General features: G+C 40.7%; 1 protein-coding gene across 5 annotated transcripts in view, besides 1 other annotated feature; it reads left to right on the top strand.

Moving 5' to 3' along the window:
• Positions 1-12,835, top strand: part of PTPN14 (protein tyrosine phosphatase non-receptor type 14) — a 202,903-nt gene that overhangs the window by 22,872 nt on the left and 167,196 nt on the right. The window lies entirely within an intron of this gene.
• Positions 2,220-3,103: an enhancer, noted in NCBI's record as "H3K4me1 hESC enhancer chr1:214698971-214699854 (GRCh37/hg19 assembly coordinates)". NCBI's record gives its function as "activates a minimal SCP1, AML or CMV promoter by ChIP-STARR-seq in naive H9 embryonic stem cells {active_cell/tissue: H9 hESC(naive)}" and the evidence as "EXISTENCE:reporter gene assay evidence [ECO:0000049][PMID:30033119]".

Raw genomic sequence — 12,835 nt, 5'->3', positions numbered from 1 at the left:
TTGAACTCCTGACTTCCAGTGATCCGCCCACCTCGGCCTCTCAAAGTGCTGGCATTAGAGGCGTGAGCCACTGCGCCCAGCCCCCATACCTCAGTTCTTAAAGTATCTCAAGAATATTAAAACCAATTACCCTACCACTCAAGTATATCCACTGTGTTTTTATATATTATTTCTAAACTTTCTATTAATTATATAACTGTAATCATGTTATATATTTAGAATAATAGTCACATAGAGCAATATATTGTGAGAATACTTTTTCTGCTTTTCTTCCCATTTATCTTTTTAGTCACACTTTTCTCTGTTGCCACATATTCTTAATATACTTAGAATGTTAATGGATGTATAGCTCATTGAGTAGTATGTTATAATTAACAATTTCCATTTGTTGACTATTTGGGTTATTTCCAGGTGTTTGTTTGGCTACTATAAATAAAATACCATTAACGTCTTTGTACATATAGTGTCTTTTTTTCTTTCCAGTTATTCCTTTGGGTTGAATTCCCAGGAGTAGGTTTAATGCATGAAATAAAATAACATATACATTTTTATGTTCTTCGTTGCCAAAACTTCTCTTCCAAGGATTGCCCAGTTTACATACTGCCAGATTTTATAATTTGTAAGGCTGTATTTAGTCACTGTTTTGTTTTATACATGAATATTAAATATTTATTAAGATATCGATGACTTAAAGTTAGAGTGTCTTATTGCAATATTGATCCTTGGTAGGTGCTCAGTAACTTTTGACTTTAGAGAGGAGTGACTTTAGAGAGAAGCTGTCGAGAGAAGTGCTTATCAGTGTTACTATTTTCAATATTGTAACCATTCTTCTTTCTGTGTATCTTACTGATGCTTAAACATTCCTTACAGACTTTTAGTAAAAAAGCTATGAAGAGAAAAACATTTTAAAACCACCAGACTGCATTTGGCTGATAGGCTGCAAGTTCAGCTTACCTACTTTCTCTACCACCTTACAGATTTTTCTACTTCATTGTGTTTGACTAGGCATGTGTTCCTCAGCATGCATTTCTGCCTTAGTCTGAGATCCAGTCCATGTTTTAGCCACATGACCGTTCAGAATCTTGGAAGCAAGAGGAAACACTGTTATGTCAATAGAAGTTTTTGGTTAATAGAAAGGAATGCTAAATAGGAAATTATTAAAAAATATATAATTAATTTTTAGAGAAGACTCTGAAATAGCAGTGGAATTACTGATGCATGCTTCAAGCCTATCCTCCTTTCATTATAATGGTTAGGGTGATTAAATCCCTTTATTCAGAATTTTTGAATTCTGAAGTGATTTCCCCAGATACTAGGCCTTTTGGGTTAAGAATGAGCTGAGTCCCCTTGAGAATTAGGGCTTCGCAGTATAAATTTCTAAGTTGGCATTGGTTACTCCTGATCGAATGCATAAGATCAAGTTCTGGAACAGGGAGAGCAAAAGTATAGACCCAATATATTCTGTAGAAACCTCTGCCTGCACGCAGACAGAAACCTACAAATGTCCTTTACCATCTGGTCTAATGTGTATGTCTTGACCGGAGCTTTCCTCTGCAGAAGGTGGGGGCTTTCCTGCCAAGGCTCTGAGATCCGCACCTTCTTGCCTTATCACCTTCTGTTTTTTTTTTTTTCTTTTTTGGAGATGGAGTTTTGCTGTTGTTGCCCAGGCTGGAGTGCAATGACGTGATCTTGGCTCATCGCAACCTCTGTCTCCCGGGTTCAAGTGATTCTCCTGACTCAGCCTCCCCAGTAGCTGGGATTACAGGCATGTGCCACCATGCCCAGCTAATTTTATATTTTTAGTAGAGACAGGGTTTCTCAATATTGGTCAGGCTGGTCTCAAACTACCAACCTCAGGTGATCCCCCCGCGTTGGCCTCCGAAAGTGCTGGGATTACAGGCGTGAGCCACCGCGCCCGGCCCACCTGCTCTCTTTACCACTTCATGACTTTCTTTCCTCTCCTCTGGTTTTCTAATTTTTCCTCTTTTCTGTCTCATCACTTCTTCCACACATCTCAAACCTAAACTAAACCTGGATTTTTCAAACACTGATAATCAGAATGCCTATTCTTCTCTGCTGTGTTTGGGCCAGTCAGTACTTGGATATAATCTTGGGTTCCTTTCATTGCTGTGGTTGTGGTGATCTAAGAACTGTTTTTTTTTCTACCAGAGCTACCTCTCTTTTTCTATTTTTTTTTTCTTTTAACCATCTGGGGACCTTGAGTCCTTACTTAACAGATTCTAAGGGTAGTCAGTCTCCTTGGAGTGTATATTTTATTGGCAATTGAATATATTCAAATGGCATTTTTCCTTTAATTCCTATCTGACCTTTAGAAAATCAGATAGTGACTTTTGGAATGGTATTTGAATTACTGTTGGTATGTGTATACTCTGACTCCAAATTAATGTTAGTCACTTTATTGTCTAAAAACGCTACCCAGGCACCATTAGAAGTGACTCTAGCTTGGCCGGGCGTGGTGGCTCACGCCTGTAATCCCAGCACTTTGGGAGGTGGAAGCAGGCGGATCACCTGAAGTCAGGAGTTCGAGACCAGCCTGGCCAACATGGTGAAAACCCCTGTCTACTAAAAATATAAAAATTAGCTGGGCGTGGTGGTGTGCGCCTGTAATCCCAGCTACCCAGGAGGCTGAGGCAGGAGAATCGCTGGAACCCAGGAGACAGGGGCTGCAGCGAGCTGAAATCATGCCACTGCACTCCAGCCTGGGTGACAGCGCAAGCCTCCGTCTTAAAAAAAAAAAAAAAAAAAAAGTTGACTTTAGCTTGTTCCTTGAGAGTCCCTTAGGCCATGTAAGATGAAACTACTCTGGGCAGATGTGTAACGGGCCAAGTCCATTTTGAATTTTTGCACCTCCTCCTACCATCCCCCATCCTCACCCATGTGGTCTAGTGGAAAGTGCACGCCTGTGGAATTTCAGAAACCTGAGTCCCAAGTCACTAATTAGCTATTTTGGTTTTAGGCAAGTTACTTAGCCACCCATGACTCAGTTTCTTTGTCTTTGTTGACTTAGTTGATCTAGTAGAATATGATTCCTAAGCTTCCCAGCTGAACACCTCTGTACAGATTCATGAATTCTAGAAAACTTTTTGTTTTAACTCTGTGGTTGAATTTGCGGTCAGAGTGAAAGAGGAAACTTCTGTGCTGTTTACTCTTCAGAAGAAACTAGTTGCCAGGTTTGTTTTTGTCCAGGAAAGATTCAAGTAGCAAATTTAAATAGTAAATTTAAACTTTTGTTTTGCTGTGATAAGTCATGTTATTTGAATGATCTTAGCATTCGCAGCTGACCCTTCCCATGAGAAATGGGACTATAACGTATGCAGTATACTTGTTTTTACATTTGTTTACATTACAATTAATTTTGTTTGGATATATTTTCAGAGGTTCACCAGGTTTGTTGGGATCATTTTAGAAAAGTGTCCCGTCAGAGGTTGGAAGTGGTTGGGGTAAGAGGTTTAGTAGAATTTAGCCGAAGTTTTGCTCCACTGTGGAAAAAGATACATATTCTGTTGTACCTCCACTGCCCTCTGCAAAACATTGCCTTCTGTCACAGTGCTGGCACCGACTTCTGAATCTTCGCAGAGATTTAGTGCTGATTCTGTGTAGTTCTTTAAAGTGTTTGTGGGACTGCTATATGTTACATATATACCTCCTTGGCCTCTCCTGAGCTGTGGTTTGCTTCCTTTTGGGAATTGCAACATGATCTCCAGGGTTTTGGGTTTCCTGACACCCTCCATGGCAGATTCCTTTATAGTGTACACTTACTACATTAATTTGTTTTGAAAGTTTCATAACTTATTTTGAAATAATTTGAGACACTTGGGGTGTTTCAAATTCTGGGCTGGAAATCTCTAGAGAACAGGATGTGATAGACAAGAGAGAGAAGAGAAGATTGGGAGGTGGGTGAAGGATTTTGAAATAGGAAGCCATAGCTGATATGTTAGAGATTGCTGGAGAGGAGCATAGTCTGAAAAAATAAATTTCACAGGAGATATGTTGTCTTTCCATTGATCCTATTATATTTTGAATCCTTCTCCACTCGCCCCCTCCCGCCTTTTTTTTAAGAGATAGGGTCTCTCTTTGTTGTCCAGGCTGGAATGCAGTGGCACGATCATAGCCCACTGCAGCCTTGACCTCCTGGGCTCAAGGGATCCTCTTGCCTCAGCCTTCCGAGGAGCTGGGACTACAGGTGTGCAGCATCCTGCCTAGCTAATTTTTACATTTTTGTTAGAGACAGAGTCTTGTTTTTTTGCCCAGGCTGGTCTTGAACTCCTGGACTCAAGCAGTCCTACTGCCTCAGCCTCCCAAGTAGCTGGGATTACAGGCATGAGCCACCACGCCCAGCCCTCTTCACTTTTACTGCCTTGATACGTGCATACTGTTTCCTCTTCTAGGCCCACTTCATATAGAAGTAGTTTCAAAAACTTGTAAATCAGCTTGCAATGAGGAATTGATTTTCTTATAAGAAAATCGTTCTATAGAACGATGTGAAAATTGGTGCTTTAGTTCTCAGCTGTCTGGCAAAAGCCTTCTTGCCTCTTATGTAGCATACTATAGAATCTAGTCAGCCAGACGTGGTGGCTCATGCCTGTAATCCCAGCACTTTGGGAGGCCGAGGCAGGTAGATCACCCGAGGTGAGGAGTTTGAGACCAGCCTGGCCAACATGGTGAAACCCTGCCTCTACTAAAAATACAAAAATTAGCCAGGCGTGTTGGTGCATGCCTATAATCCTAGCTACTTGGGAGGCTGAGGCAGGAGAATCACTTGAACCCAGGAGGCAGAGGTTGCAGAGAGCCGAGATTGTACCACTGCACTCCAGCCTGGGTGACAGAGCAAGACTCTATCTCAAAAAAAAAAAAAAAAAGAATCTGATTACTCTCAAATACTATTTCAGTGCAAAAATAGATTCCCAGCCCCAGTGTTCAGTGACAGGAACTCAAGGATCCTGGTCAGCCACCGCAGGAGGAGGAGGGACTCCAGGCCTTGTGTTGGTGGCCAGTACTCCTGGGGCCAGCAGCCCAGATACCTCCGGAAGTGGGGTCACTGAAACTGCACTCAGGGCCCCTAGTTGTCAAATCTGTGGTTGCTTAACAAGGGGGTATGTTCTGAGAATTGACTTATTAGGCAATTTAGTCGTTGAGCAAACATTATAGAATATATTTACACAAACCTAGATGGTAGAGCCTACTACACACCTAGGCTAGATGGTGTAGCCTATTGCTCCTAGGCTACAGACCTGTATAGCATGTTACTGTACTGAATACTGTAGACAGTTGTAACATAATGGTAAGTATCTGTGTATCGAAACATAGAGCACAGTAAAAATATGGTATTATAATCTTCTGGGGCTACTGTCGTGTATGTGGTCCGTCATTAATTGAGATGTCATGTAGTGCATGACAGATTGCTCTGGGTTCATTCTTGGTTAGGAAGGACTTCCAGTAAGAGGTATATAAGAAAAATGGGATGATATGGGGATATGTGGGGAAGTGGATGTGTTTCTGCGAGAGACTGTGTTGACCTCGGGATGCCAGGTTCAAGGGCACTGCCTCTATAAAGATGGATCTGACCTGTCCTTGTAGATCCTATATTGTGACAATGTAAGGATTGTCCAAGGATGAATAGCACATTAATCTCCCATAACCTTAGGTGCCTCACTAAGTATGATTAAGTCTTAGGAGTGAGAATAATTTTCATTATTTTGGTCTGTAGTCAGCTTCTGATCACCACCACAATTTCAAAAGATCTCGATTTAGTGTTTCCCTGCTTCTGAATAGGCCGAGTGACTGCCTTCTTTCTCCTCAGTCTTATCTTGCCAGCATTTTAAATGTAATTGATATCACCTGCAATTTTATGCCGTCCTAAACAAGGAGTTGCCCACATTAAGTCTTTTAAAACACCATGGCATTTATTTTCACAATTGGTTGTCTTTTGTTTATAAGTAAAGCTTTTACTGCTTGCGGTCTTTACTTTTGCCCTCTGGTGGTCTTCATTTTCACTTTTCTTGTCCTTTATTTAAAACGGCCTTGAATTGGTTAACTGCACTTCTCAGCAACCTCCTCCACTTACCACCATTTGGTGTAGGCTCAATGAATGTTAACTGTTTTTTACGCTGGTTTAAACTGAATATAATTAGGACAGCGAATTTGTTTCAGAACCTGATGGAAAACAGGTATTGCATATATATTTAGTGGTTACGTTCTGCGGGCTTGGATGTTTGTATCCTGCTTGTTCCTTTTCTGAACACAGATAGTTATTTGAGTTGAATTAGCTATTTGTTGACTGGCCATTTTGCAAGTTACTGTTTTTGAAAACAAGATATTAATTTAATCAAAGCTTACTTTGGTAGTGATTGTACCTACTTCCAAACTTGCCGTAGGTTTCCATATTCCATTGAAGCTACTTTTGATCCTTAAGATGCTACATGACTGGTATGAAATCTCTCATAGTTGTGGGGAAAAGATGATATAAGAAGCTTCAGGCTGGACATAGTGGCTCACACCTGTAATCTCAGCACTTTGGGAGGCTGAGGGGGACAGATCACTTGAGGCCAGGAGTTCAAGATCAGCCTGGCCGACATGGCGAAACTGTCTCTACTAAAAATACAAAAACTAGCCGGGTGTGACGGTGCACACCTCTAATTCCAGCTACTAGGGAGGCTGAGGCAGGAGAACTGCTTGAACCTGGGAAGTGGAGGTTGCAGTGAGCCGAGATCGTGCCACTGCATTCCAGCCTGGGCAACAGAGCAAGACTCCATCTCAAAAAAAAAAAAAAAAAAGCTTCAGATTTATATTTTGTTGAAGATTAAGTAAAAAAAAAAACAACAAAAATCTTATGAAACATGGTTTTAGGTACCTTCTGACAAACAACTGGGGGATGTGCTGCATCAGTTCTGCCCATACTTTTCCTAACTGCGTATTTTCCTACCTTTAGTTGTTTTTCTTATTGAAGTCTTCTAGTTCTTTTGTTCGTGTGTGTGTGTGTGTGTGGGTGTGCTTTGAGATGGAGCTTCGCTCTTGTTGCCCAAGCTGGAATGCAGTGGCGCTATCTCGGCTCACTGCAACCTCCGCCTCCCTGGTTCAGGCGGTTCTCCTGTCTCAGCCTCCTGAGTAGCTGGGATTACAGGCACACGCCACCACGCCCACCTAATTTTTTGTATTTTTTAGTAGAAATGGGGTTTCACCATGTTAGCCAGGCTGGTTTCAAACTCCTGACCTCAGGTGATCCACCCATTTTGGTCTCCCAAAGTGCTGGGATTATAGGCGTGAGCCACCACGCCTGGCCGTTCTTTCTTGTTTCTGTTTATACTGTCACATTTAGTATTTATACATCTTTTTCTCTCAAGGAAGGCATCTGCCGTTTTAATTGGATGATTATATCAGAGGGCTCTTTTCTATATCTTAGCTAGAGCAGGTATCTGAGAAGTCCTTTTTGCCATTAACTAAGGGGCCGTCAAGTACTTTGTGAAAACAGCATACTCGTGTATGCATTTATATGAGAAATATTTTTATAAAGCGATTAACATGCCATGTGGGCCATGGATCTCTCACTGATTCATGTGTTTTCAAGAAAACATGTTTTTATTTTTTAAATTGCATTGAGCTTCCTTTAAAAAAACTGTTATTTCTCCAAAGATAAATTTCATTTTCTACTTAGGAAAACAGATGACTCTTTTTCCCTCAAATGCCTTCTGTGAAATGACATGTGGAGCTGTTAGGCATTGTGAATCTGTTTTATTTACCCCAGTGTTACAGAAAGACGGAAGGCAATTTTAGCTTCTTTAAAGAGACACTGGCCTGGGGTAAATAACAATTTAGTCCAGGTGGGTAGAAAAGAATGCTTATGACATTCTTTTCATCAGCTCCATGTGTAACCTCCAAGCAGGAGGTCAGGCAGTAAAACATTTGAGTGAACTGGTGAAATGTTTTGTATTTATTTACAAGGCACTTAAACACAAGACTGATCCCAATAAACTCAACAAGTCAGAGTGATGGAGGAAAGTATATGGTGCATGCAGAACAGTAAAAGCGGGGACTGGAGGGGGGCCTGTAGATTGCATTTAGCCTGCTCCTCTCTTCCTACCGTGGAGAGATGACCATCAGTGCAGTGGTTATGGGTGAGTTTCATGAGGAAGGTAATGAGCCCCTTTCTGTTCCCACCTGCTGCTGAACTACTTGACATTTTCTTTTAGATTCCAGGCATCCTGAAGTATTTAAATTCTGTTTTGCTGAAAATTCTTCATTCTTTTTGTGTAACTTTCTTGAATCAAAACTTCTGTTCCACCATTCTTAGTGTTGTATCTGTTATGCTGGAGTTGATGACTTGATTCCATTGCTTACCACAGTCTAATTTAAAACAAAAGCATTCTAAAACCTTCTCAGTTTCGTCATTTTTATTGTTACTATATATTTATTGGTTTAGATGTAGTTTGTAGAGAATCAAAAGAAAAGAGGACAGTTTCTTTGGATAAGACGTTCATAACCTTTTCTCCTCAAGAAAGCCTGCCACATAGTAAGCTCTGGGGTCAGTAAGTCATTGCCGGCTTAGCTGTTGTTCATTTTCTCATTGCATCTCTACCAAATGATGGGCAGACAGACTGATTCATACCTGACTGTTCTGCATATATTCTGCATATATATATATATATATTTTTTTTTTTTTTTTTTTGAGACAGGGTTTTTTTCTGTCACTCAGGCTGGAGTGCAGTGGCATGATCATAGCTTACTGTGGCCTCGAACCCCGCGGGCTCAAGGGATCCTCCCACCTCACCCTCCCAAGTAGCTGGTACTATAGGCGCTAGCCACCATGCCCAGCTAATTTTTTATTTTTTGTAGAGACAGAACTTTCTTTGTTGCCCAGGTGGTTTTGAACTCCTGGGCTAAAGCCGTCCGCCCCCCTTGGCCTCCCAAAGTGCTAGGATGACAAGCGTGAGCCACGACACCCAGCCTGCTTGCTTATATTTTGAATAAAAGATTTCATGGGGCGGGAGGGTTAAAACTCTTTGTGAATATTAATAATCCAGATTAATTTGAAAGAACTTTCATGTAATATGCTACTCAAAAAACAGTATATGCAAGCGATTATCTCTATCACCTAGCAGAAGGCTAGGCAGGATTGGTTTAACAAGTAAATAAGAATAATTTAGTGTTAGCCTGCTATACAAATAAGAGTGCTTTAGTATCTGAAACTGTCCCTGGAATGTATCAATGTATATTAGGAAGTTACTTCAGTATATTATGGACCAGCAGGCATTATTGAGAACTCACTGTGTTGCAAGTTTGGGGCAGTAACTCTGAAAATAAATAAGGTGCTTCTAGTTGGAGATGGGGGTGGGGGAACAGACTCAATCAGATCATTTTTGGAGTGGTGAGGGCTTTGATACAGGAATGCAATGCTGTATAAAGGTGCTTCCCTCTTGATTGTTGAGTTTTGTTTTGTTTTGTTTTTTGAGACAGTCTTGCTCTGTCACCCAGGCTGGAGTGCGGTGTCATGATCTCAGCTCACTGCAACCTCCATCTCCCAGGTTCAAGCAATTCTCCTCCCTCAGCCTCCCAAGTAGCTGGGATTACAGGTGCCCACCACCATGCCTGGCTGATTTTTGTATTTTTAGTGGAGGTGGGGTTTCACCATGTTGGCCAGGCTGGTCTTGAACTCCTGACCTCAGGTGATCTGCTTGCCTTGGACTCCCAAAGTGCTAGGATTACAGGCATGAGCTGCTGTGCCTGGCCTGTTTCGTTTTGTTCTTTTTAATTAAAGGCAATGATCAAATTATCTAGGAAATTAGTTTAAAGCCAACATACCTAAAATATAAAACAGAACACAAGGCAGATATTCTTAGGACATTTTCCTCAAACTAACATTTATTTATCTTGCTGCCTGAACATAAAGACTTTTTTTTGGGTAGCGTAGTTACTTAATTTTACCTCTTTTTTTGTTTCAGTTTAGCTGAATATAACTTTATCTAAAATAAAGTGAATAGCTGTTGTATTTAGAAGTAGCACAAATAATAGGGTAACTGTACCCCTTCCTTGTTCTGTCCCACTTGCACCCAGCCAACCCATCTGCCCAGTGGGATTTTAAATGGTTTCAGTCCTTGGGCTCAAGAGAACCCAGAGGAAGTTCATTTTTGAAGTCTCATCCTCTCTGTATGAATAAATTCCTTGGTCATTATCTACTGTTTTTCATTCTTTGTGAAATAGATCATCTACCACAGTGGATAATAGAGGATAATACTATTCAAGACAAAAGCCTATATTTGGAATAGTTTATGTAATGTAACATATTTAATATGCTTAATGACCTTAATGAAATGAAGATGTGAAAAATAAACTATTGTCATTCTGGGGATATCATTTATCAGATTCTAAAAGGGCTGTTTCTGAATCTGGTTAGGGAGTTTCTTTTATTAGTAGTGGCGAATAGAGAGTAGTGGTTTGGATATATTGGTGTCATATTTTAGTTGGGTAGAAATATCTCTGACATTTTTACATGATGTGTTTTCCCATCTTCTCCAAAACAATAATTTCATCCTCGGGAAGAGAAATTCATCCCATCCATGGTGGATTTTCGGATACAGTACCCAGTTCAATCTTTTGACAAACATTTATTGTTTACCATGTGCTAGGTGAAATAAATATGGTAGCTCAGGGGTTATGAAAAGATACCAACGCATTGTTCCTTCTGGGGAGGATTTTATAAGTTTTTTATATTTTAAGTACCTTCTTTAGAGGTCTTTATATTATAAGCTTTCTATATTTTATTTTATTTTTAGAGATTGAGTCTCTCTCTGTCACCCAGGCTGGAGTGCAGTGGCACAATCTTGGCTCACTGCAACCCTTGCCTCCCAGGCTCAAGTGATACTCCCACCTTAGCCTCTAGAGTAGCTGGGATTACAGGCATGTGCCACGACTCCTGGATAATTTTTGTATTTTTTATAGAGACACAGTTTCGCTATGTTGGCCAGGCTGGTCTCAAACTCCTGAGCTCAAGCAATCCACCTGCCTCAGATCATGGATATAAAGCTTTGTATAGTCTAGAGGGACTAGGGAAGGGTCCCTTTCCCTCCCTACTCCTCCTGCCTCCTGTTATATTTTTCTTTCCATGTCATCTCAGAAGAAAGGTAAGTTTCACTTTGCTGATGTGTTCCTGCATATTTTCATTTATGGCCTCTGGCTAGTGCTATGATTAGATTTTTGGGTATTTCTTACTTTATGTTTTTTTTTTTTTTAATATTATGCTCATTAAATTTGGTGAGTTGACCTAGCAGTACCATCTCAAGCTTCTTTAGATTCAATGTGCACTTTGTCTTGAGTTAATCTTAACCTTGGTGGTTAGTGTGCCAAGGAGACATACTTGAAGGCTTTTCCCTTCTCCATTTAGGATCCTTAAGTTTTGATGCAGTAATTATTTCAGAAAGGAAGACATATCATGCATTTTGTCATACATACATAAAGTTTGTTTATGTGGAAATTTTATAGTACACTGACCATGCCTTCACAGAAATGGAGGTGACCATGTCCTTGAGGCAGAAGGAGGTAGCTGTGCAGGGCTGGCAGTTGCCCTGTAAAAGATGTGGACACGACATTGTAAAGGCTTAGAGGTAGGACCGATTACATTTGCCTGGATGACAGGTGACAGCCTTAGGAGCGGAGGAGATAGCTGGGCCTGGAAGGTTGGATAGGACATATTTGGTGGGAAGATGAGAAAGAATTTCTCCAGGAGGAAAGAGGGAACATGAACTGTGAGAGAGGAGAGCAGGTGCCTTAAAGTTCAAGGCATAGTCCAGAAGCCAGGAGGAGTATGCCTGGTGCGTAGCGTAGGTGGAGTGGGGTGGGGTGGGGAACAGGAATTGCTATCAAGTGGGGATATGATAGTAGCAAAGGAATGTGTGTGCCTTTTCTGTTTGTAAAGATTAGAATTTCCCTAGGTGGAACACTTAGCACCTGCCTGCCTCTCTGAGTTTTTTTTTAATATCAAAATTAATTCAGTGTTTTCAAACAAACATTGCCTTTCTATTTCCTTTGAATCTATACCCAAGGAAAATAAATATTTACAGTCCTGGTAATACTATGTATTGCTGCGGTAAGCTGTTAGTAGTAGGTAACTTCAAACAAACTTTACCAACCACATTTTGTGTTTGTTTTGCTCTGGTGCTAATCTGGCAAGAATGATGTCCAGCAGGAAAGTCAACATATCTTAATAAACTGTCTGCTTTTATAGGAATGCTAGCTTTCTGGCAGATGTCATATCAGCCCAGCATATGCTGCACAGTGATGACTCTTTTAAATATATTTCAGTGGGAACAGCAATGTCTCTCACTGGTCACTGCCATCCTTGCAAAGGATACTCTGAAGGGCTGTGAATTACTTTTCAATTCATATATGGTACCTTGGCCTCTTGCATTGTTGGCACTGAAAACAAAACCAAAACACACAAGGCATCATAGAGAAATTATTCCTACCCCTTCAATAGTGTGGCTTCAACTGTGAAAAAAGGAAGGGTGAAGACACTGTAGAAGCAAAAATTTGTTTTATTTTAATATTGGGCTCATCAGCTATGCAGGTGCCAATACAGAGAAATTTTCTTGAGAACCTGGCAGTGGCAGGGTTAATCTAGCTCCTCTGGGGTGAGGTGGAGGTGTACTTCCTGCTTTTATGTTATCGAAAGAGGAGTGCAGGAAATTATACCTAGGTATTAAGAGCTTTGAAAAGTTGAGTACAAAGCTCTTTATCAGATATAGCAGGCCTAACTGAGAATATCAGCCCAATTGCAGTTTTTCCAGGAAAATTGTACTTTGCCAAAGGTAACTTTTCCAGGGTC

The sequence above is a fragment of the Homo sapiens genome, chromosome 1 (genome assembly GCF_000001405.40).
Source record: "Homo sapiens chromosome 1, GRCh38.p14 Primary Assembly".
NCBI classification, from domain to species: Eukaryota; Metazoa; Chordata; class Mammalia; order Primates; family Hominidae; genus Homo; species Homo sapiens.
The sequence above is the reverse complement of the archived record's forward strand: the minus strand, read 5'-3'. Positions and strand labels throughout refer to the sequence as shown.